The sequence below is a fragment of the Homo sapiens genome, chromosome 13 (assembly GCF_000001405.40).
Source record: "Homo sapiens chromosome 13, GRCh38.p14 Primary Assembly".
Classification (NCBI taxonomy): Eukaryota; Metazoa; Chordata; class Mammalia; order Primates; family Hominidae; genus Homo; species Homo sapiens.
The window spans coordinates 106,901,648-106,927,256 of record NC_000013.11 but is presented as its reverse complement, the minus strand read 5'-3'; the positions used below and the strand labels follow the sequence as shown (position 1 = coordinate 106,927,256).

The 25,609-nt window shown below is 42.1% G+C and overlaps 1 protein-coding gene across 3 annotated transcripts, besides 4 other annotated features; it reads left to right on the top strand.

Annotated features, from left to right (window-relative positions):
- LOC124903248 (translation initiation factor IF-2-like) lies at window positions 8,767-24,107 on the top strand. 3 transcript variants are annotated; one of them, XM_047430858.1, is made up of 2 exons: window positions 8,767-10,373; window positions 12,158-12,279. In XM_047430858.1, the coding sequence occupies exon 1, from the start codon at window positions 9,103-9,105 to the stop codon at window positions 9,793-9,795; it is 693 nt and encodes a 230-aa protein (XP_047286814.1). In that variant the 5' UTR covers window positions 8,767-9,102; the 3' UTR covers window positions 9,796-10,373; window positions 12,158-12,279. The 3 variants fall into 3 exon arrangements, 1 of the variants encoding a protein (XP_047286814.1); XR_007063941.1 differs by lacking the exon at window positions 12,158-12,279 and adding an exon at window positions 20,534-24,107 and having other exon boundaries at window positions 10,128-10,373; XR_007063942.1 differs by lacking the exons at window positions 8,767-10,373; window positions 12,158-12,279 and adding exons at window positions 16,505-18,571; window positions 20,534-24,107.
- Window positions 8,853-9,730: an enhancer, noted in NCBI's record as "H3K27ac-H3K4me1 hESC enhancer chr13:107569875-107570752 (GRCh37/hg19 assembly coordinates)". NCBI's record gives its function as "activates a minimal SCP1, AML or CMV promoter by ChIP-STARR-seq in primed H9 embryonic stem cells {active_cell/tissue: H9 hESC(primed)}" and the evidence as "EXISTENCE:reporter gene assay evidence [ECO:0000049][PMID:30033119]".
- Window positions 9,039-9,128: an enhancer, noted in NCBI's record as "active region_7986". NCBI's record gives its function as "activates an Ori minimal core promoter by ATAC-STARR-seq in GM12878 lymphoblastoid cells {active_cell/tissue: GM12878}" and the evidence as "EXISTENCE:reporter gene assay evidence [ECO:0000049][PMID:35858748]".
- Window positions 9,219-9,298: an enhancer, noted in NCBI's record as "active region_7985". NCBI's record gives its function as "activates an Ori minimal core promoter by ATAC-STARR-seq in GM12878 lymphoblastoid cells {active_cell/tissue: GM12878}" and the evidence as "EXISTENCE:reporter gene assay evidence [ECO:0000049][PMID:35858748]".
- Window positions 9,479-9,538: a silencer, noted in NCBI's record as "silent region_5493". NCBI's record gives its function as "represses an Ori minimal core promoter by ATAC-STARR-seq in GM12878 lymphoblastoid cells {active_cell/tissue: GM12878}" and the evidence as "EXISTENCE:reporter gene assay evidence [ECO:0000049][PMID:35858748]".
- Window positions 24,108-25,609: the final 1,502 nt, after the last annotated feature.

The following is a 25,609-nucleotide window of genomic DNA, read 5'->3' as shown; positions in this document are numbered from 1 at the left end:
AAGGACTTTAAAGTATCGCCATATTAAATATTCTCAACAACGCAGTGAAGTAGGTGCTGTTTACCTCACTTTACACATAAGAAAACTTGGACAAATGTTAAGTAACCTGCCCAAGTTGACAAGATGCATAGGTGGTGGACGAGAAATGTGACACCAGCTGACACTCTCCAAGGCCCACACAATGTGTTTAATGAGCTGCAAGTGTGAAGTTTGGCATGACCACAAATTCAATGTGTATGAAGAAAGGGCACAACCAGATTGACAGACAGACTTGTATGATATACCTCGTCTCATCTTCCAAGATAAGGAGGTTGAGATTTATCCAAACATAATTGATGGGGAACCACCAAGCAATTTTAAATCAAGAGAATCAAATGTGATTTAGGAAAACTGGCCCAGCAACATACATAAATCTCTCTTTTTTTTTTTTTTTTTTTTTTTTGAGACAGTCTCACTCTGTCTCCCAGGCTGGAGTGCAGTGGTATGATCTCAGCTCACCGCAACCTCTGCCTCCCAGGTTCAAGTGATTTTCCTGCCTCAGCCTCCCAAGTAGCTGGGACTACAGACGCACGCCACCACACCCAGCTAATTTTTGTATTTTTAGTAGAGGCGGGGTTTCACCTTGTTGCCCAGGATGGTCTCAAACTCCTGACCTCAGGATCTACCTGCCTCAGCTTCCCAAAGTGCTGAGATTACAGGCGTGAGCCACCGTGCCCAGCCCCAGCAACATACATAAATCTTTAGATCAAAAGGGGGTGAGAAATTAGAAGGCAATTGGTATGGAGAAGTCAAGAAGACAGGAGTCTAATGCAAGCTACTAGAATTCATCAAACCTAATGTGTTCTCTCTTTGTGTTGTTAATGAGGACTTGGGAGACAGAGTTTTAGGAGGGAACATCCTGGTGGCTGTGAATCAGTCTAGATGAGAAACCCGGGCTGGAGATCCGACAGTCATGGGGGGTTAGTGCTTGTGCTTATTAAGATCACTTAGGAGTGATAAGAAAAAAGACTCATTCTTGCTCTCATTCCCCTGCTCAAATATTTTTATGCTTTTGCTATAGACTGAATATTTGTGTCCTGCCCCCCAAATTCATATGTTGAAATCCTAACCTCCATTGTGATGGTATTTGGAGATGGACCCATTGGTAGGTGATTAGGTAGTTAGGAATGGGATTAGTGACTTTAACAGAGACTCTGGAGAGCTCTCTTACCCCTCCCACGTACCATCTACAAACCAGGAAGTAGACCTTCACCAGATGCCAAGTCTTCCACTGCCTTGATCTTGGATTTCCCAGCCTCCAGAAATGTGAGAAATAAATTTCTATTGTTTATAAGCCACCCAGTCTATTGTATTTTTGTTACGTGCCTAAACAGACTAAGACAGAAATTGGTACTAAGAAGTGGGGGTGCTGCTCTAACAAATATCTAAAAATGTTCCAAATGTCTTTGGAGCTGGGTAATGAGCAGAGGCTGGGAGATTTTTGAGGTGCATGCTAGAAAAAGTTACATTGCCATGAACAAACCATTAATGGCAATTCTGATAAGGGCTCAGAAAGAAAAGAAGAGAGCTGTAGAGAAAGCTTCAGTCTTCTTAGAGAACACCTGAAATAATCCTGAACGGAATGTTGGTAGAAATAGGGATGGTGGAGTTCATTCTGATGAGGTCAGACAGAAATGAGGAACATACTGGACAATGAAGAAAGGTGACCTTTCATATACAGTGGCAAAGATCTCGGTCAAATTCTGTTCATGTTCTAGTGTTTTGTGAAAGGCAGAACTAGAAAGCAATGAAATGGGACGTTTAGCTCAAGTAATTTCTAAGCAAAGTGCTAAAGGTGCAGCTTAGTTCCGCCTGACCGCTTATAGTAAAATGCAAGAAAAGAGACATGACGTAAAGACAGAATTGGTAAGGAGAAAAAAAAGCAAAACTTAAAAGATTTGGAAATTTCTCAGCCTATCCATTCTGTAAAACATGAGAACATTCAATGTAAAATATGAGAACATTCTGTAAAATATGAGAAATAAATCTCAGATAAAGAGATTAGTATGGATCAGCCATTAGGTGCTATTCTCTAAAACAATGGAAGAATTACCTGCAAAGTGATTCAGAGATCCTCAGATCCTCAGAGCTGTCTTTCTCATCATAGGTCCAGAGTATGGGGCTTGCGGGGTGGGAGAGTGGTTTGGAAAGCAGTTTTAAAAGAAGGAGAGAGCAGTTTCTGGTGCCTACAGGACCCTGACACCCCACCCGGTGCCTCCTCACATCATGGGCTCTGCTCCCCACACTCTGGTGCTGCAGTCCTTGGCCACCCCAGGTATGGCTCCAGCAGGTCTCAGTGAGGGAGGGGCCACAACAGCCACCCTTCTGGAGGGCCCAAGTTGCAAAAACTTGATGGCACCCTCATGGTGCCATCTTCACTGGCTTTCATAGTACACGGGTCCCGGGGACGTGCTGCCTACACCAAGATGTCAAGCGATGGAGATTTCCTGAACCACAGGGGCAGGACCCAGGCAGTGAGCTGCCCCAGGGCCATTCCACCATGCCATGGGGTGGCATTGCCACTTCAGTGGACCTGGAGGGCAGAACATTGAGCCAAAGAGGATTATTCTCCAGCCTTAGGATCTCGGGGAGTGTGCCTGTAGCTTAAACTCATGTGGGCCTGTTACCTCCTTCTTCCTAGTTCTCCCTTTTGGAATGGAAATGTCTGTCCTACACCAGTCCCACTGTTGTATTTCGGAAGCACATAACATGTGTGGTTTCACAGATTCACAACTGGAGAGAAATTTACCTGAGGATGAATTGTACCTTGAGTCTCAGCCATATTCGGTTGAGAAGATATTTAGATAAGACTTTGGATTTTAGACTTCAGTGTTGGTGCTATAACAAAGTTAAGACTTTGAGGGCTCTTTGTATGTAATGAATATATCTGCATATGAGAAGGATGTTAATTTGTGGTGGAGGGAGGGGTAGAATGGTATAGACTGAATGTTTGTACTATCCCCCGCACCACAAATTCACGTGTTAAAATTCTAACCCCCAGTGTGATGGTATTTGAAGGTGGGGCCTCTGGTAGGTGATTAGGTCAGGAAGATTCCACCTTCATAAAAGGGACTATAAAATCCCTTATAAAATAGGATTATAAAACCCCTTATGAAAGAGAGCCCAAGAGCCAGAGAGCTGCCTCATCCTCTGTGCCAGGTGAGAACACAGGGAGAAGACAGCCATCTAGGAACCAGAAAGCAGCCCTCATCAGACCTACAGTCAGCCGGCACCTTGATCTTAATCTTAGAGCCTCCAGAACTGTGAGAGATCAATTTCTGTGGCTCATGACCCACCCAGGCTATGACATTTTTGTGACAGCAGCCTAAGCAGACAGAGGCCTCTCCTCTTATTTCTGTCTCGCACACAATTATCCACCGCTTCTAAACAGCCTCAGTTATTTCCTAAAGTAAAACAAAGAAACAAAAATTACTCTGACTCCGTATCCCTTTCTAGCCTTCACCTTTCTAGCTTTCTTTCCCTTCTCAGCCAAGCTGCTTCCATGTGCTAGAAGTGATCTCTCCATCCCCTTCCTCTCCCTCCTCACCTCCCATGCATTCTTCCTACAGGCTGCCATCTGCTTTCTGCCCCCAGGACTCCCCAGAAAGACTCTGACAAACAGCACCAAATACGTCTTTATCATCGGAGCTTGTAAACACTGCTCAGCCTTTATCTTCCTGGACCCCTCTCATCACTCAGTATTTTAGAACACTACTTGGCCAAATATCAAGGGACAGTCCCTTCTCCTTTCCAAAGTACGAATGTATTAATTAGCCTGTTTTTTTTAAGGCAGTGACAGGTAGATTCTAAAGCTCCAAAGAGAGCCCTCAATCAGAAGAGTTTTGTTTGTTTGTTTTTAACAAACAACGGAAATAAACTCATGTATTTCCTGGTCAAGAGAAAACATAATTTTCTCTGTCCTTTGGTAGTGATGTCCCTTTCCTTGAACTATTTCATAATTTAGGCAGAGAAAAAGCTACCTAAGAAAAGGAATTCATCCGCCATCAGGCACCGTGGCCCTGGCTGATAAATGCTCTTGCCTCATGAGGTGACCAGCTTCCCTCCTTCATTTTTGAGATGACTCATAAGGACAATATGGTGTGATAACCACTTTTATGTTCTTTGGGGCTCTGAGAGGTGAGTGTCCTCTATGCTGTACTTTAGCAAAAATATTATGAAGAAACAAGCATGCAAAACATTCTCAAGACCCAGAGCAATAGGTAAGGTGACGAACATGCCTATGTTTGCAGCTTCTCACTGTGCAATTTATATATATAATCTATTAAAAATGCAATGGATTGAACCTCACAACCCTACAATCCCCTAGCAAAAGTGTATCAACACTAGATGAAGTTTTCATGTAAAAGAGACTTTGTTACATGACAAACAGCTTCCTGAGTAAAGATTTTACAAGGATTCACTGACACAATTTCTGTGACTGTTCTCTAATGATTCTTTCTCTACATGGTTTGTTTTTTTTTTTGTTTATTTTTTATTTTTTATTTTTATTTTGAGGTGCTCCTCTCCTTACCCTTAAAATGGGTGTTCACTGTGGGTTTCTTCCTTGGCCTCCTGGAATCCTTTTTTACGTTCTGCTGTGGGATCTCAGGTATTCTCGAGGTTCTGATGACATCTACAGACCAGAAATTCATCACCCTTCCCAGTCCCCTGTGCACGGAGCAACTGCCCTCTGGACATAGACATCTGCATGTGCCTCCTGCTCACTATCACAACTCAGCACCACAACTCAATACCGCAACTCGACACCGCAACTCAACACATCCTCAACTGAACTTGTGACCCTACTTAATTCCCCAACCAAAACTGTTGCCTCTTAATATTTTCCCAACCTTAGACATGAGTGCTATCAAGAAGCCAGTCACTCAAGCCAGAGGCTTAAGGGTATCCCTAGATTACTCCTCCAGGTGAACACATAGTTTCACGCATACAATCCTTGCCCCACTCCCCAGTCGCCTACTTTGCTCACAAATTTAAATTCCCCATTCCTCCCCAGATCAACTTTTGTTGTTGTTGTTGTTGTTTTGAGATGGAGTCTCGCTCTGTTGCCAGGCTGGAGTGCAGTGGCACGATCTTGGCTCACTGCAACCTCCACCTCCCGGGTTCAAGTGATTCTCCTGCCTCAGCTTCTACAGGTGCACACCACCGTGCCCTTCTAATTTTTGTATTTTTAGTAGGGGCGGGGTTTCACCATGTTGGCCAGGATGGTCTCGATCTCTTGACCTTGTGATCCACCCTCCTCGGCCTCCCCAAGTGCTGGGATTACAGGAGTGAGCTACTGCGCACGGCCTCAACTTTTGACTCTAAAATCAGAGAGCCAGGAAAGGCACCTAAGATCCCTATCCTATGCACTCTCCCAAGAGAACAAGAACCATGTTCTCAAAAATATTCAAGACAACGTTTTCGTAGCCTTTCATCTGGAATCACTGTATAAAGAAAGTTGTGAACAAAAATCCTTGGATCCAGTTCAAATAATCTGTTGATATCGACCAAGGTTTATAAAAGATTGAAACTATGGCCTAAGAAAAAAGTAAGTGAGAAATATGAAACCATGAATATCCATTAGAGAATAAATGTTGACATTCATAATTAACATAGTAGCATGCCTTCCACATGGCCCACCTGCCTCTATTAATAATCTCATCAAATCTGTACACTGCAGTATCAGTCACTTCATCAAGTGGGTGACAGGGAATAAACTTCTCCCAGGATGCACCGCATTTCCCCATATTCATCCTGAAGCAGAACCTACCTGGGACATGTACGAATATCTATTCATGTCAAATTAAATGATCTGCTCATCCATTTTAATTCCTAATACGTATTCACTAGAAGATAAGTTCCCCTCCCCGCCACACACACACACACACACACACACACACACACACACTCACAAACAAAAAACGGATAACAGTGGAACTGAAGCCTGCCTCCCATCCAGGCTGCTTGCTGGGAAGATACAATTGCATATGCAATACCTGCGGCCTTCTGTTTCCAAATTAGTAAAATAGAAATGCATATGTCTGTAACTTCCTCTATCTGAGAGCCTTGTTGTGATTTAATTAATTAATTGATTCAATTAATTCTAAACTATGGAAATGATTTAATGAAGCTCAAACTCTAAAAGGACTGCCCACTGCAGATGCAAATGAACAAGATTGCGTTTTTCATTGATCCAAATCATTCATTCACTCAGATCTATAAATTGGTCATCGATTTCCACAGGTGGAAATGATTCTTACTGACACGTACAGCTCTGCAGTAGAAATTGAGTTTCTTCTCTGTAGATTCCTCTGTTTTGATATCCCTGGATAAAGTCTCCTTAAAATTTACATCATTCTCTGTATGACCTCTGAAATCTTCCGGAAAATAAAAAAAAAAAAAAAAAAAAGAAAAGAAAACGAACACCCCGCCCCGCCCCAAAAATCTAAAGCGTCTTTTACGTATAGATTCCTCCGTGGGTTTGTAGCTGTGGTTGTGGAACTGGCTTCATCTGTCAACTATTTACTGCAGGAGCTTTTCTAATTGATAATGAGCTCCTTGGGGGAACATGATTTCAGAGTGTAAATTAATAATCATTTTCAAAGGATGGTGCCTCATTTTTAACAACGTTATCCAGCACATTTTGTATTATATTTTGCAATAAACTAGTCCCAGGAAGACAAATTTACAATAAGAAAAAAATAATTTTGAGTCTGATGGTACATATCTAAACAAATCAATAATTGTAGCGGCCTACTTTTTACAAATATAAAACACCCACATGTGCTGTCTCAGTCAGTTTGTTGAGTTTAAATTATTTCAAACTGAGTGTTGGCTATAGGTAGGACAGGTGTCTCTTAAATCCCAGCTCACTGGGGCACATGCTGACGTTTGCCAAAAAGCTTACGGGTGTTCAGTACAACTCAAAATAGTAACATAAACATGGACTACTTTTTAGAAAGAGCCCTTTCATTCTTCCGGTTCATCCCGAATGGGTTCTCAGTTTTTCTTGTAACCTACTTTTAGGGTGTTAGGTAACGCAGTGGTGATAAAGCTTTTTATTAATAAATAATTCAGTAGCCAGGGAGTGTAAAAACATCATTTGTATTGTAGCTGAGTGTTTTGTTTTCTAATTATGAAGCAACTGGAAGGCCTGGCGCTCCAGGGCTGTGTGATTTCACCGGTGTTGTTCCCCGGTTCCCCATTGTCGCCCTTGAAAAGAACATTCCCACAGAGCAGGCTCTAAAGACAATAAACATCGTGAGTAAAAAGAAATGACATAACATTCAGCGCTGATAAGGGGAGCTTTTCCCAGGGGCTGCGTGGGACTGCAGTGGGAGGGCCTGGGGAGACTGCTGTCTGCACTGGGGGCCTGGAAGGAAGCGTCCACACAGGCGGGTTGCTGGGGCCCCTGTGTAGTCTCAGCACAAAGGGCCCAGAAGTGGGCAGGTCCCTCCCTGCCTCTGTGAAAATCAATCTAAGGAAGTCTGATGCCATGGAACGGTTTCCTGTCCGCTGTGTGGGAAATCTAACTGAGCGCAAACGGCCGGCAACAATGGGACAATATATTATAATAAACAGGAAAAATAGCATTGGCCACGGAAATCAATAGCTGGGGTTCATGAGGCATTCATAAGATTGACAAGTGAATAAATTAAAACCCAAAGGTTAGGACGCTGAAAGAGAAGTTAATTTTATGTCTGCCCTGGAGCTCCCCTTTTCAGACTCAAATTAAGACTGTGTATAATAAAATGAACATAAAGTCTTAGATTTACCAAAAAGGCTCCACTAAGACCTACATCGTCAGAAAACCAGAGATTCTTTTATCAACTTCCCCATGCATGGATGGTCGCTGCTCACACTGCATTAACAGCCCCCTCAACAGCGTGACCAAAGACTTATTTAAACGAGTTTCTGGCTTTAAATAAACCTGCTCTCGGCAACCAACTGTTCATCCAGGAAGTGATGTGACACCCCACTACACTGAAGTTTACTCAACCAGAACCCAACGAAGATGTGTGCAATCCAGCTATTTAATTTGAAGAACCGGAGGAAAAGCCACCTCAGTTCCTCCAAACCCCAAAATAATTATACTCAGCAAAACACAACTAACTCTAACAGAGACATCCCTTCAATAAACAATGATCCATCCATTTCCATGCCACAGTTGCCACCCTTTGAAAAAATGTTTTAAAGTTTGGGGTTTTTTAATAATAAAATTAATTAGAATTCACTGCTGAACCTCGGATTTGCAATAAAGTGTTTGACACAACAACTTCTTTCTCCTACTTACTAATAAAGGCAGAGCATTGTTCTGTAGTTGAAGCAGTAGGCTAAGGATTTTGAGACAATTAATTCCAATCCAGGCTTTGCAAGTGACTTTGACTTTAGCACAGTTCCTTTGACGATTACGCATTAATCTACTCTACAATTTAGGGACATTTAAGTTATTAGAAAACATAAAATGATCAGGTGATGGTTGCTTGTGAGCAATTTATGTAACCTAGTAATTTGGACGCTATAACTCAAGTATGTCTGGTAACATTCTGTTTGAACTTTAAAGATATTTCACTGCATTATTTGTTTTGCTCTTGGAGGTGGACTAAGATGGTTTCTTTGCATATCAAGGATTGCTGATAGAGCCTAATATTTTGGAAAGTAGTATGATTTAGTCTTTAATAAATATGCATTAACCAAAGAATTTCTAGTCTCATAAGAATAGTCTCAAAGCACATTAAAGCAGAAGGGATACCAGAGAGCCAAACTCTGATTTTACTCACAATAAAATTTTCACTCTTTTAGGAGGCTGTATAAAGGTTAAGAAATAATATCCTTCAGTCTGTTTATTATTTTAAGTTTGGTACTCTCCCTAGTTTTTTTTTTAAATTTAGATTCGCCCGGGAGGGAAAAAAGCCAAATCTACGGCTGTATTTAAATTAATCCGAGTTCACTGAACCACCCGCTCGAGCAGCTGGGAACGCGGCGCAGCGGCCAGTAGGGGGCAGTGCGTCCCAGCGCAACCCTCGCCGCCCGGCCCAGCCTCGGCTCCCCACCGGCTGAGGAATGAAGTTTCACCGTGAACCGATTCCTCACCAAAGAAACAAAAACTGGTGGCATCGAGACGCACGGGAGGACTTCAAGTCCTCCGGGGACACCCGCAGCTTCTGGGGATGCGCCCGAGGGAGCCCAGGCTGCATCCGCGGGGCTCCATTTTGTCTCCGAGCCAAAAAGCCGCCGACTTCTTCCTCTAGGGTTTTGCTTCCTGTAGGTTCGGTCCCAGCGCGCAGCAGAAACGTCAGGGGCGGCGCTCTCAGAAGCACGCGGGCCTCTCTCGGCGATGTGCGGGGCTGGGTGGCGCCGCCGATTCCCGCACGGAGCCCCCCTCAGGCGCCTCCGGCCCCGTCTTCGTCCCCTTCTCTGCGCCCCTGCGCTCTGTGCTCTGCCCTGCGCCCTGTCCCCGTTTCCGTCCCGGCCCTCTGCCCTGCGCCCTGTCCCCGTTCCCGTTCCCTTTCCCGTCCCCGCCTGGAGGCCTCGCCCAAGGTCTCCCCGGGCTGCGCCACGAACCTGCCCCGCGTCCCCGACCCCGGCCCCGGCCCCGGCCCCGGCCCCGGCCCCGGCCCCGGCCCCGGCCCCGCGCGTCCTCCTCCGCCCTTCGCCCGCTTCCTTCTACGGGCCTCGGCCACTGCATCTTCCTGTGTGCTGAGATTTCTAGAACATTCTGAGGGATGGGAAACGGGGAGGGTAGGAAAGCCCTGACCGCCCCCCCCCCCACCCCCCCGCAATCCAAGCGTTCCCAGGGAGTCCCTGGGGCCCTCTCGTCTTTCAATGAATTCACGAATTAAAACAGCGGCTCAGGCGACTCCTTCCGCACTCTGGGCCAGGTCTGCGGGGACCCCATGGCCGCTGCGGCCACTGTCTCCCGGTCCCCTCAAACCCCCTGGACCGGGACTTGAACCCAGCGCCGTGGCATCCACGGCCGCCTCTTTCAGCGCTGCCTCCCGCCCGCTCGCATTCAAGTCTCATTTCTTATTGTACACCGTTTTTTTTTTTTTTTTTTTTTAACATTTCCTTAAGAAAACAAAGCAAAAGACAAAGGCACAGGCTATTAAGTAATTACAAGAAAAGGGATGGCAGTGCTCGGGGCGCACCCAGCCCGCGGAGGCCTCCTGCGTTTTCCAGAACTCCAGGGGCACCTTCGCTTGGGTCAGACTTGGGTAATTTGAGTCATGAGTGGGCTCACTTTTTAAAATTCATTGTATTGTGGAAACAACAAACAAACAAACAACCATTGAATTTCTCAGCAGCTTCATCTCCCACTGAAAACGACATGAACTGTAAGTGCTTCACTTAAAAGTGTTTCCCTTCCCTCTCAAAAAACACAGCGCTTTTCCCCTTTCAATAAGGAATGTGAGTTTGCTGCATGGCATGTTGGTTTGTACTGAAAGACGAACTAGAGTCGGCACTTTCAAATATTTCAAATTAGAAAAGAATTAAATTCAGAATGCACATTTTGAAAAGAAGTGATGGAACTGCTATTCGGGTTATGCATGTGTAATTTTAAAGGAAAGATTTTTTTTTTAAGTTAAATAAGGATCATACGATTGCTAAGAGTAACACACAAGTAACACGTTTCCCCACGGCCCACTCTCCTCCCATTCCGCTGAACTTGACTCAGCCATTGCAGAAAGATTTCGTCTGCAAAAGGAGATTCCACAGTTTGCCCCAAGAACAACCCTGCCTTTTTTTGGGGCGGGGCGGGGTGGGGCGGGGGGGCCGGGGGGGGAATCATCTGTTGACAATGCATTTCCTGTCTTCATCTTCAAAATGAGGAGCTTAAGTTCTTTCTCAACTGTATCCAACGTGATTCTGAAAACCATCAGGTCACTCTCAGCATTTTCTATGCCAGACAAAATCCAGAGGCCTGGTTATTTCATTTGAGTTTTTAAAAATTTCAACACTGAAATTATTTTCATTGATCTCTGAAAACATGCTGGTTCTCAATATTGAAACGGAGATTTTTATAGGCAAAGGCCTTAGGAAGTGTCTGGTACTGGTGCACAAAATTGACCTGAAGCCAGCCTCCCAGAGATTCATAGCAGCAGAATATCCGGCAAGACTTCCCCCTTCCTTTCTGAAACACCCCCCATTGATAGAGAAGTCACCATCTCCGAAGGAGGTTCATTCTATTTTTAGGTAGGATACGGGTTATATTAAACCCAACTTTGTTCATAATTTGTTTTCATCGGTTTTAATTCTAACTTCTGGGGACACAATGAAAAAAAAAATTCAAACATTCTTCCACAATTGTATTTTGAAGAAAGCGCTCATGTCTTCTTGAAAATTCTCTAGGCTAAACAGCGCAGGGGGGCTCTTTGTTATTTTGCGTGTCACAGCGTGGCAGATGTCCACCATCCTGGTCTCATCGCTCAGGACCTGTGTTTCCAACAGCACTGGAACCTGAGCCCGACCTACTGGGTGTAGCTTGGCCCCAGCAGTGCCCAGTGAGACAGCCTCGATTTTTGTTTTCAGCAATTCTCAAAACTTTTACCTGTAGGAGAATTACTTGGGGAAATTGTTTAAAAATGGACATTTCTGAGCCCTCGTCTTAAATATTTACATTTCTAGAGCCCAGAAAGCTGCGTTTTACAAAACAGCCCAAGTACTTGAACAAGTATTCCTCAACCCGTATTTTGAGAAACATTTCCTTAGGGGCTCTATTTGTTTTAACGTGACCTCAGCTCTCACTTACCTTTTTCCCTCCACATTGTAAGACTTACACTGATACTACGGTTAACCTAAACAAATAAGCCTTGTCACATGAACTCCTAGGCATCCCTTTCTGACTCTACAGTTGCATAATTGAGTTTTAAGGCTGGAATGCAAAAGAATGCATTTACCTCTGTGTAGCATTGACTAAGTGCAATAAGCAGTTACATTTAAAGTTCAGACAAACAATTTTTAGTGGGACATATTTATACCAAAACATTAATCATTATCTGTCTGAAATTCACATTTAATTAAGTGTTCCTTAATTTGTTAAATCTGATAATCCTGTCCCTATGAAATTACTTCGATTAGATTTAATTTTTCCAGTCATACCTGGTTGTTTGTTTTCCAGACAGGGTCTCGCTCTGTCACCCAGGCTGGAGTGCAGTGATGCAATCATGGTTTGCTGCAACCTTGACCTCCTGAGCTCAAGCTATCCTCCCACCTCAGCCTCCTGAGTAGGTGGGACAACAGGTGTGCACCACCACCCCCGGCTTATTCTTTGTGTTTTTGTGGAGACAGGGTTTCTGCCATGTTGCCCAGGTTGGTCTCTAACTTCTGGACTCAAGCGATCAGCCCCCCTCAGCCTCCCACAGTGCTGGAATTACAGGCATGAGCCACTGCACCTGGCCAGTCATGCCTGTTATGACCATTTAGATCCTAATTCTGTCCTCAGATAATTTTAGGACTCACAAATACTGCTCTTATTTCTGACTGTCAAGTTATTATCCTGTTAATGTAAATTCCGAAGAACAAGCTCATTGTTGATGTTTGTTCGCCCATTGTACAAAAAGATCCAGGTGCTATATCTCACACAGGTGATCATATACACAATTTCTGTCTTCATTATATTCAGCCTTCCTCAAAGTCTAGGATAGCTACTTTGTTTTCAGATGTGAAATAAATAAAGCAAACAGCTTAGAATTGGAGGACCTGGGTTCGAATACTGGTTCAGCCATTTATGAGCTCTGCATCCTCAAGCAAATTAATAGACTTCTCCAAACCTCAGTTTCCTCACTTGTGAACTGGGGATACTTAGGGTCATTATGAGAAGTTGATGACATGACACAGATGAAAGTCTCAAGCCTTATGCTTAGTGATCATTCTATACCAAAAAAATAATTCTTCGTTCATGAATTTGTTAACTAGTTATGAGAGCCTCAAATTTAAATTGGTAGAAATGAATGCATGGATTGCTTCTCAACTCTCTTGAAGTCCATCAGACTTCTTATACTAATAGCAAACACTTTTATAAAAAGAAATAAATCCATAGCTCTAAAAAAGAGGTCATTGACAGATAGGAGTTTTCGGTGAATTATTGGGAAAGGGAAAGCAAAGGCAAGCCTATAGGCTTGTGAAGCACAGACAAGGAACACAGCCCAGAGCATACAGCTCTGGGAAGGGGCTTCAGGAAGGGGGCAGCAGTCCTGTGTGTCTCCACCGAGAGGCTGTGGGGCAGCAGAGAAAACCAGGTCCAGGAGAGAATGAGAGAAAACAAGACGGCCAGCAACAGAGCAAGTCCATGAACATTCATCTCCCCGAAGGTCTTTAGTGCATAATAACTGGGGATTTATTTCCAGTGGAACAATAAAATAGGAAAAACAGTGGGGGTGCTGGCAGTCCAGGGTCAAGCTCTTTTTGTTCTCACCTTTTCTCTTGGATGGTGGGGGAGGAGCTTGCAGCTAATAGTAGGCACTCTGCCCATTCACCCTGACCAGAAGCCAGCTAGGAAATAGGCTATGCCCACATTTAAGAGGCTCCATGAGTCTACCCCAGGAAAAAGAGAAGCAGGAAAGGATTGTGTGTGGTGAGGGGCAGGCAGCCGGTGGTGCTCTCTCACACTCCAGAGAGATGGTCCCCACCAGCTTCCCTGTCCTTCAGTAAATGAGCCAATTTCAAAGAAGGGCCTTGTCAAGGTAAAAAAGCAAGACCAAGGAAAAAGAAAGAAAAAAAATGAGCCTAGAAAGAAACAGGCATTTGGAGAATAAAGAGACTTTGAAAAAGAAAACTTCTCATTGATAGATTTGAGAAAATGGTATATTTATAAAATAGAATGTAATGAAAAAATCATAATCACAAAATAAGTGAGGTGTTATATATGATTAATGAAATTGAAAAAACATACATCAATGAAAAGGGAAAGAAGTAAAGTCTAGGAAATCTTCAAGGACATGGAATAAAATAACAGAAAGAAAAAATAGAAAATATGAAGGATAGACAAATGCAGGAGGTCTAATATTCCAATAAGAGGAGTGTCATAAACCAGGAAAAGGAAGAAAAGAGAAGAGATTCCAAAAACACAATGGAAAAATAATTTCCCAAACCTGAAAAATATCACCTGTCCTCAGATCAAAAGAGACTTGCCAAAGTCACAAAGCTGAAGAATAACCAAGCTGGGACTTGCCCCCAGGCAATTTGGCTCTAGAGTCTGTACTCTTAAGCACTGTGTTCTATTCCCCTTCTACAGTGAATTCTGCTTCGAGTTTTTTTGAAAGATTTCTGTGGAATGGGAATATATTTAGAAGCTATTTTAAATGATTCTGGAGAAAAAGGAATTAAATGCATTCTAGAGAAAAAGAATAGGATGGCGAAGGTAGAGTCCAGAGAATAAATGGAGGAGTTTCCCTAATTACATAAGGAGGAAGCACAAAGAGAGTAAACAGTACTGAAAGTTGATTTCTTTGTGTGTTTTTCAGAAGATGACAGAACTCCTATCCAATGCCTACCTCTTTTTTTGTAAAATGGGAAATGAGGACATCAACCAAGTGTCCCTAACTGTGCCCAGGAAAATGCTCAGAGATTTATGGAAACTGGAAAGTGTTTGAAATCATTCTTGTGCAGAGTGGAGTAATAGTTAACTAAAGAAATCTCTAGTAGGATTGAAGCAGCATTGCTTGTAGTGATTAATTTTTTTTTTTTAGAAATGGAGTCTCGCTCTGTCGCCCAGGTTGGAGTGCAATGGCGCAGTCTTGGCTCACTGCAACCTCTGCCTCCTGGGTTCAAGCGATTCTCCTGCCTCAGCCTCTTGAGTAGCTGGGACTACAGTAGCCTACCACCACACCCGGCTAATTTTTGTATTTTTAGTAGAGACGGGGTTTCGCCATGTTGGCCAGGCTGGTCTCAAACTCCTGACCTCATGATCTGCCCACCTCGACCTCCCAAAGTGCTGGGATTACAGGCGTGAGCCACTGCGCCCAGCCGTTTAGTGATGAATTTAAGGTAGATCCTTTCTCTCCTGATATGTGGCGTCCTCCAGAAGAACTCAGCTAATTAGGGGCAGTCAAAGAAGAATGATAGTTGGGTCCTTCTAAGGTGGATTTTTTTGTCAGACCAGTTTGGGGGAAAGAAACCACACACAAACCAAGGGGCAAGAGGGTTTTGGGTATTGACAAGATTTGATAAAAAGATGAATCATTAAGTCCAAGCTCCATGAGGAGGGAAGTGAAGAAAGGAGAAGGCTGATAGAGAAAAAAAAATAGATATGGGTAGAAGGCTAGGCAAGACGGAAGAACTGTCATGGTGGAAATAGTTTCACAAGTTAGCAGGAGATAGAGAAAATTCGTGGTCGAAAGTCACTGCTCTAATCATGACTTTGGAAGTGTTTCTAGTTATGACTCATAACAAGCTTGTCAGCGTGACTGTAGGAGTGACAAGCTGAAGCAGAGTAGAAGTCCACAGAGGGAAGGGCAGGGATAGACCTACCCACAGGGGTTAGAAGTCACCTGCACTGATGAGATGACTTGGGGAAAAGAAAAAGACTGTTGTGTGCAAAATTCATGATATTTTGATGGTCAGAAGGTAGATGATAGCAATGGAGACAGAGATGGTTATTAGTGTGAAATGTCTTGAGCATCAGAAGACTAGGGTTTTTGTGGCTCAATTTTCTTTTTACAAAAGGAGAAGTGGAGGGGTTATGTTCTGAAGCAGCAATGAGGATCCAGGAAGAAACCAATGCCATTCTCTGTCCCTGAAGTAGGTGAAGTGCAGGAAAATATACAGCAGCTATTGATGGGCATCTGGGAAAGTTGTGGTTCCAGCAGATAGCCAGGCAACAATGCAAGAAACTGGAGAGAACACTAGGAGAAGAGATTGATGGCACAAAGGCATTTGCGATAGAGAATGCTTTTGATGATCAGTAGAGGTGGAGGGCTGGGGACTACGGAAGTGATGTTGACTAATGAAAGAGGCACAGCCATGAGTAGACGGCCAGGGCTTCACTGCAGGTACTGAGTGATGAAGACAAGGAAATGATGTACAGTAGGTTTCACTTTCAACCTACTCTGACTGGAGTGGATTCTTGAGTTGGGTATGTCTTTTAGTTGCAAAGCAAAGGCATGCTTCCGTGATATGGTTTGGCTCTGTGTCCCCACCCAAATCTCACCTTGAATTATAATCCCCACGTGTCAAGGGAGGGACCTAGTGGGAGGTGATTGGATCATGGAGGCAGTTTCCCTCATGTTGTTCTCATGATAGTGAGGAAGTTCTCACGAGAGCTGATGGTTTAAAAGTGGCAGTTTCCTCTGCGCTCTCTCTCCCTTCTGGTACCACGTAAGATGTGCCTGGCTTCCCCTTTGCCTTCTGCTATGATTAAGTTTCCTGAGGCCTCCCAGCCATGTGGAACTGTTAGCCAATTAAACTTCTTTTGTTTATAAATTACCCAGTGTCAGGTAGTATCTTTATAGCACTGTGAGAACAAACTAATTCATCCCATCTATAATGCATTGAATTAATACAACTCCCAAATTTGTGGAGTGTTATATAATGGAATTCTATTTTATTCCAAAGTAAATAAAATAATAATGGTGAGGGGGAGAAAGGACTTGAAAAAGCCTCACACGGAGAAATAGAAAGTCAGTTGAAGAAATCAATGATTTGGATTGTCCAAGTAAAAGGAAAGTAATTATACCAAAACAACTGTGTTCAGGAGAAGTCTGGAACTGTCTATTAAACTGACAAAGAGCAGAAAATATGTCAGGTATTTTAAATGATGACAGCAAACTAATGGGAAAGTCAAAGGCAATGATCAACATAACTGTCCACCTTTTGATTTAGAGATGTGAGAGATGGTAATGTATGCCCATGGTATTTTTGTTTCATTGGAAGTCTCATCCAATGGAATCAGTGATTTAAATTTAAGACATTGACATAGATAATCATGAAAATAATGATTTGTTTCAAATATGTCTCACAAGGAAATTCAAGGTCAAAAGTGATTCAAAGATTAGGAAGTCTGAAAAAAAAGGCAGACTGAAGAAACCATGCAGGATGAAGGAGTCAATAGATATCTCTGTGGAGAGGACTTTTCTATAATAGCCCTATTTTATCAGCATTATGCTTAAGAAAATTAGCCAACATCCAAACATTAGTATCAGAAAAACAATCAGGCGATGCAGCAGAAGCCATTGTGGTATTTACAAGGACCTATAAATATCCCCAAGTGCTATTAGTATGACAGCATAGGTGATGAGCACAGGTTATTCTGACAAAGAGACGCACATTCCAGATACGCAGAGTTGGTTCCAGAATATATCATCAAGGGATACCAGATGACATTGGAGACATGGGTCTCAAAACAATAGAGAGCAAGTCATAAGGAAGATGAAGTACAATTAAAGCGAATGGCCAAAGGTGCCAGAGGGCACAGAGGGGCTCACCAGGGCTAGGGGAAGAAAGGAAGACAACATTGCTTTAGAGATGTGCGTAGGTCACTGCAGACAATGCAAGGACACAGAGAGGAACCAGACAAATTATGATGCATAGTAAATCAATTCCGAGTTATGCAATAATGGAGACAAAGTGCCTGAAACAAGATTTATAATTGTCAGCAATGCTAACAACAAACTGTAGCAACTGTCAGGGCTTTGTCCTAAGGGAAACAAGAATTTACAAATATAGGTTAAACCAAGTCAGAATAAAAAAACAGCAACCACAGTTACATTTACTTCAATAAATTATACCAAATGCCAACTAGGTACCAGGAACTGGGCTGGGAATTAGAGTTACATAGGAGACCCTGAGAAGCATGCATGTAGTCAGGGAGAGGGATTGTGAAAATATCTAATTGTTATCCAATAACAATTTACAAGCAATTGTGTGCAGTAGGTACAGAGCACAGTCATGTTATCATGGAAGGTTACAGCCAGGGAATTTTTCCATAAATGCCTGATGTATTAAAAGATGTTTACAGAAAGTCAAGGTGAAGCGGCATGCCAAGGGAAGATGAAGCACAGAGGAAGAGGGCTGCGCTGTGTTCAGTGTCCCGGCCTTGCTTAGTTGGTGAAGGAAAAAGTCCTAAGAGGTAGGAGGGAGGTAGGAGACAAGATGGGGGAAATAGATCCCATCAAACTTGGGTGACCTTGTGTATCAAGCAGGAAAGAGGGACTTCATTTTTAGGCAATAGACTCACTGAAGGGTTGAAATAGGGAAGCATTTCAGCTCTGGGTTTCAGACGGATCATGCTGATGGCAATGCACAGGGGAGGCTGGGAGGAAGCACATCTCTGAAGTTAGCAAGACACATCGGGAGCCTTTCTGTCTCCAGATGGAGATGTTCGGGCTCTGAAGTAAAAGATATTTCTGGAGTTCCACTCTTGACATTATAATAAGAAGAGCTACAAATTATTAATCCCTTTCTAGATGCCAACTGCTTTACCCAAATCATCTCATTGCTTCCTCATAATGTCAGATGAGTTGGATACCATCGTGTCTGTATAACAGATGTGAACTTCTGTCTGCAGCTCAGAAGGTAAACAACTTGCCAGCTCCAGGTGGGTCTTAGTCCTGAGCGTGGACTGAAACCTAAGTTTTTGTGTCTCTAAAACTCACCTTCTTTACACACACATGGGCTTGAGAGGATTTTTTCCTGAAAACCTATACAACTGTAAAGTAATCTGAAAATCTGTACCTAAATTTACTTTGGTGAGGATAGCAGCCCATGTCTCTTCCCATAACTTCCATCTTTGTCTCAGGCCAGACCACAAACCATTTATTTCTAAAATAGTATCTGGAGTTGACCCTTTCTACAGCACTTCAAGTTTAGATTTCTCTCCTAGACTGGAGCTTCCAAAGGGCAGAATGTTCTGTATGTCTTAAACTTCAGTTCTTTGCAAGTGCCTGGCACACAGGACACTCAATTATTGGTTCAGTGAATAAAAGGCTTTGTAACCCTGCAAGAGGACATTTGGAATGGCCACATTACAGCTAAAGTCATGGTTTTAACTCCGAAGAGTTAGCAGGTCCTCACCAAAGAACAGACTTTCCCGGGAGGATCACAGGTAGACGCTTCATTTGAGTGACCTGAACTACCAAGTTTTAACTAGTTGGTGAGAAATAAACAAACAAGCACAGCTCTTTACTCACTAATCTTTTGCACATAATATAATAAATAGGATATAAATAAAAGAAGCCTCCATAAAAATTCATTTAAAGACTATAATTGTTTAAATGCTTTTTTCAGCCTTGGCATATAACTAGAGTATAACTCTAGCATGTAGCTTCATGAAATCATCACCATTTTCCCTATCCTTTCCTAGAAAGCAACTTCCTAACCTGTTGTGAAGTCGGATTTAAAGGTTCCATCCCTTCCAGGGCTCACTGCGTCTCAGGACCTTCAGCCATGGGACAATGGGCCACCTTGTCACCGTAGGCCTTCTAGGGTCTCATATCTGCCAAGGTTTTCTCCTCCATATCAGCCACCCTAGGTCCACTCAGCTATTGAGGCCGCTTGCACTAATTAAATGGTAGACCTTGCAGTGTTCCTCTCCTTATCGTTCTAGAATGTTTTTTCTCTTCTCTCTGATCTCTTGGCTTCCACTCTCTACCAGGGACCCAAACAGGCAGGAAGCAATTACAGTAATAAGAAACCAGCCTGTCTTTTATCTCCCAGTCTGGAAAGACCCTCCACTCTTGCTGCATCAAGGCGTTTTCTTCACTTGCTGTTGTTTTTTTTTTCTTTCTTTCTTTTTTCTTTTTGAGACAACTCCTTCCAAGTTTCACTCTCTTTCCTGATCAAATCTTTGTTTTACAAACAATGGCTTATTAACTCCCTTAATCTTCAGATTTTTCCATCCTCAGTGACAGAAGCGCTATCATTTTACACAAAACATACGTTTTTAAAACCAAAGCTGACAAGAATTTAACGCACATATTTTAATGATTTTCTCCCCTAATCATTTGACGTAGCTCTTGTGTAAATAAGATTTCCACCCTCCACCCAATAAAGCAGGTGCATTTAAAACGACTTCAACTGCATTTTCAAATATATTTTCCAACTGACTGATAGAGGGGAATCAGTATCACCCAAATAAAACTCCTAGAGCCCTCAGTAGGAAGACTGTCCTTTCCAGAAGGCTGCCTGCTCACCTTAGTCCTCCCCAAGAAGCTACATTGTAAACTGAGCAGCAAGAGCACAGCAAGAAGTCACAGCTTTTCTCTGTGTCTGTCCCCACAGACAAAATAGATGCAAGAGGGAAAAAGGTGATGTAAATAATGACTGATGATGACAAAGAAAGAAAACCCATTGGAGAAAGAAACCCCAAATCTTGCTGTCCTCCTAAGAACATGATTCATCACGTCTGGGGCACACTCTTGCCAGTTCCCTACACAAAAGCATGATTGTTGAGCCCTTTACCTGCTACCCAGGCCACATTTCAAACACTGTGGGGTCTGGTGAGTAGGGTTTATGCCGAGGGACTGTAAATTCCCTGCAGCTCATGATATCATCCATTTAGGAACACTTCTGACTGCAGTATCTGCACTGAGTCAAGAGAAACTGCATCTGCAGGACCTAGAGAAGCACCCGCGCTCTGTGCCCCGCCGCCTGCTCCCTGCTGCCGCGCTGCTTTCGGAGAATCCCTTCCCTGAATGGCGGCGGACTCCCAGAAATGCCTGGAGAAACCATTTTCCGTCTACCTCACAGAGCAGCAAGAATTAATGTCCTTATTAACCACATGCCAGTGATTACTGCGATACCATGTTAAAAGCATGGCACTGGAAATCAGAAAAGCAGTGTTTTCAGTTCTGTTACTCATTCCTGCTTGCATGTTAAAATCCTTTAGAAAACTCTAAAAAGAAATAGCCCTGGGCCACCTCTAGAGACTAATTCAGTTCATCTAAGGTGAGTCCTGAGCATGGCCATCATTTAAATATGTATACATGAAAGCATTTTGTAAAGTATATATCACTAAATAAGTATTTTATTATTATAATTACTAATTCAAAATACGTATTGAAAGATAATGTGTTGACTTATCAACTCCTGTTTCTTTCTTTAACCTATTGCCATTTTCCTCTCCACTGCAACAAATTAGTAAGGACGTGTGTCTCCTTGCTCTGTGTGTGTGTGTGTGCGTGCAGGCGTGCGCACACACACCCTTACGCATGGCACGAAACAGAAGTTTCCAGGAATTCAGAAGCCTCTCCCATCCAGGCTACTTGGAAAAGGCTCAACTCATAGGGGAGGAGGAAGATAGAACTATGTTGTGGAGGCTTTGAAGTCAGGTGTCCGGATTCAGGAAGAAGGGAGTTGTGCTTAGAGGGGGCAAAGTGGAGAAGCAATTCCTCCCGCGTCTGTCTGTTATTGTCTGGGAGCTGCAGTGCTGGTCTGCTCCTGGTCCGCTGCTGCCCGCCTGTAAGGAAGAGGCCCAGCCTGTGGGCTGGAGGCTGCAAGAATCCAAGTCTGAGAATTACAGTCGTGGGTGCTTGCTCAGCTGGTCAGTGGGGCAACAGAATGCACTGCCTCAAGGTCCGTGCCCACTTAATTGTGATTTTAGGATTCAATATTCTATGAGTTGAGGGGCTCTTGGAGATTTATCTGAATTGGAGAAATGAATGATAGGATTTTTTAAACTACACAACTCTGATATTGCACAATAACAATTCAGAGCTGATACTCATTTAGCAAGTTTACACAGACCTGTTATGTATCAAGTAGCTACTATATTAGTTTCTAGGGATATCCTTCAAACTCAACAGTTAGGGACAATCGTGACAAAAATAGTCATAACATGAATATATTTGTCCTCCCCATCAGCAAGGGTAGGGCTCAAATGAAATAGTATGTTTGAAGGAAAAATGCATAATGTCATCAGAGTGAATAAGTAGCCATGGTTGTGACAGTCAGATGGAGACACAAGAGCTGGGCAGAATCCAATTCAATAACTTAATAGCTGTAAGATGAGTATGAAAAAAAAATCAGAATGAAACTAAACAGCAATTGCCTTCATTGATTCTAAACGAGGGGTAAAATAGCCCAAGTGGAAGTTGCAGGCTCAAATTAGAGCTCTGAATCAGGGGAGCTGAAGACAAATCAAAGTGCAATCCAACCCACTTGTAGTGTTTGGACTTGGGGCCCAGTTTGACCTAGAGACAATCAACGAAATTCAGTCTGTCTTTCATGGTTTTGAGAAAAACTGCCCTGGATTTCCACTCCGGATCTCATACCCCCGCCAAAATTTCTGAATGCACAAACTCAGCTCATTAATGATGCAACCTGAATTACTTGGGATAAAAAAATTGTTTCCGTAAAGGATAAATAGGTGACTATAAATAACCCAGGAGGCTTAAAATTAGGTATATTGATGGCATAAATAGTATGAAGACTTTCGTGTTGAGAATAATAATCTGTAGATATATATATTTTTTGGAGATGGAGTCTTATTCTGTCACCCAGGCTGGAGTGCAGTGGTGCGATGTCAGCTCACTGCAACCTCCACCTCCTGAGTTTAAGCAATTCTTGAGTCTCAGCCTCTCAAGTAGCTGGGACTACAGGCACGAGCCACCACACCTGGCTAATTTTTTGTATTTTTAGTAGAGACAAGGTTTTGCCATGTTGACCAGGCCAGCCTCGAACTCCCGACCTCAAGTGATCTGCCCGCCTTGGCCTCCCAAAGTGCTAGGATTACAGGTGTGAGCCACCTCGCCCGGCCTTATTTGGTATTTTAAATAATGATAATGTTTAAAAGGATTTTGCATCCTAGAGAATCTAAAAGATTCGCCTTGGGATTACACTTTTAAAAGTGTAAATGAGGAATTGGCTTAGATTTGTAATTTTAGGTTGAAAGTTAAAAGAAATTTTACGAAGTTTGTAAATAACATTCAAATATTTAAAACCAGCTAAAATCACCGTATTTTCTGAAATAATTATTGAATTTGTCTATTTTTATTGTAGTATCTTTGATGTCTTTAGCCCATAATGTATAAAAAATATTTGGCATTAAGGGGGAAAAAAAAACAAAACATTTCCAAAATCAGATGGGAATAGCCATATCCCTTCTCTAAGTAATTTTTACTGCTCTTTTCTAAACTCTTCTAAAGTTTTAGGCCCAAAATGGAACTTAAGAAATGCCATTTAGACTAATTATCTAACCATATACGTGAAGAAACAGAGACTCAGAGAAGCTGAGATATTGCTTAAACCACAGCACTATTTAGGGCAAAACCAACAAGAAGTTTCATGACCCCCCAGTCCATTGTCGTCTGAACTGGATTATCGGCTTTACTTATTGCTTAGTGATGATATATGTTCCGGGGGAGCTTATGATCTGACCTTCATCTGAACACAATAGACTGCTTCTGATTTTTCCAGCCAAAGAGAAAGTATTTGGGTTTTGAGCATCTTTTTAACTGAGAACATTCCTCTTCCTGGCTATGAAAACCTTCCCCTGTGTATGTAGTAGGAAGACTGCTACACTAACCAGACTTCACCCATTGCTTTCCAAAAACCAATGTGAAAAGGCTATTGAACTGAGCAGTGTATTGTTTTGTCTGCAGCTTACCCAACATGCAAAAATACAGACTTTCTCAGTGTGCATTGTTCTGTGTTCAGTTTCACAACTGTAAAGAATAACTTATTCCATGTAAGATTTTGTGTTGTGCCTAAAACACGAAATAATCCCCCTAGGATCTACTAGAAAAGTATCTTATGCTATAAGAACACTGATCATTTCTGCTACAAGCAAACATAGAGGTTGTGTTCTAAAGTGTTAATCTTCCTCTGGGGGTGGCTAGAGAACAGCTTACCAAGGGGGAGAAATCTGGCTCATGTCGACAAAGCTCTCACAGCTCTTCAGAAGAGAAGTATTGTGTAAGTGCAAAGCTATTATTATATAAAAGCATTCAGAGGATAATATTAGCCATAATTGTATTAAATATTAATATTAATGCAAATGGTGGCTAAGAGCTTAAAGAAGAGCTTATAAACTGTAACAGTCAATAACAATGGAGTAAAGGTATATAAAATTTGTATATTGTCAACCATGCACACCAGACAAACCCAATAAACTGAAAACTAATAAGTTGCTAAAAGTCGTGCTGTCCATTTTCATTAATTTTTTCAGCTAGAAAAACAAAAAAAAAGATTGTCAAACTTCTTTCAATCAGCATTGAAAATAGGACTTGAAACTCAATTTACTTAATTTCCACGTGATGATTTTTTTTAATGTGGCAGCTTGGCTGTGCTAAACTACGGTTTTCCATCAAACTCAGGTGTTCCATCAAATGTGAATCTGTATGTGGCTGTGAAGAGATTCTGTTGATATCTAATCTGTTGACTTTAAGGAATCAAAAGAGAGTATTCTAGATGGGCCTGACCTTATCAGATGAACCCCTTAAAAGAGGGCTGAGGCCTTCACAGAGCCCAAAGACTCGAGGTTTTAGCTCCCAGAGTTGCAACTTGCCTGTGATCTTTCCCTTCCTGCCTGTTTTATATACTTCAGACTTGCATACACACCTTGCCACATTATGTAAGCCAATTCTTTGTAATAAACCTAAATATTAATCTGTCTATCTATATACCTATCATCTATCTACCTACCTACTTTTCTACCTGTCTTCTACTGGTTCTGCTTTTCTGGTTGAACCCTGATTGATACACCATCGTTTTCAAGAAACATATATGTGGGTAGTTAGATTTTTTCATGGGTAGAAGCATAAATATTCTAAAAAATATAGTTTTATTTTGCACTCCTCACACATTAAAGAAAAGCTGCTGTTTAATTTCACTCCTATCTTAAGTAACATAATCCATCATTGATTTAAAAAGATAGAACAACTCAAGACCAATGAGCTTTTCAAAGATTTTTAATTGGATTTCAAATGAAAATTATAAACACAATGAATCACTGGGCCCTAAAAATGAAGACTTAAATACTTTGACTTAAAGCAAATTTTTGGAAACAGCCAAGGACATTTGGTGTGGATAAAAACGGGTTCCCGACACCTTCTATTCTGAATGCCTTACTTCCTCCATGCAGTTCACGAAAATTACATGAGCACATACACATAAATACAACCCTAGCAGAGGGAAGCAAAATGTAAGAACACAGCCATCTGTCAGTGAGTCTCAGGAATATTGAAAGCTTAACAAAAACTATAATTTAATTCAATGTTAAAAACAAAATAATTGAAGGAATTTCACCTGGTCGTAATAATTATGTTCTCCACCTTTAATGAGCAGCTTTTTGTGTCTTAGCAGATGTCATATGGGTGTTTACTGCCTCCTTTAAGAAGTGAGAAACCAAAATACTTTAAATCATATATCGAAAATCAGTTAAACTAACCATACCTTGTAATTCCATTCCTCATTAAAAATTCTTAATCAATAATGTCTCAAGATTTAAAAGCATTGTGAAAAGTAAATTAGAAGACATTCACAACATGGAATATTATACAGCCATTAAAAATGTGAAGTAACTAGGGGACAGGAAAAAATTATATATGATTATATGATTGATAAACTCAGAATAGACAGTTCTGTATGTGTGTGTGTGCATGTGTGTGTGATTTAGAAATCAGAGAGTAAAATATTC

Coding starts and splice junctions, on each gene's coding strand:
- LOC124903248 (XM_047430858.1), top strand. CDS start 9,103: ATGAAGTTTCACCGTGAACCGATTCCTCACCAAAGAAACAAAAACTGG.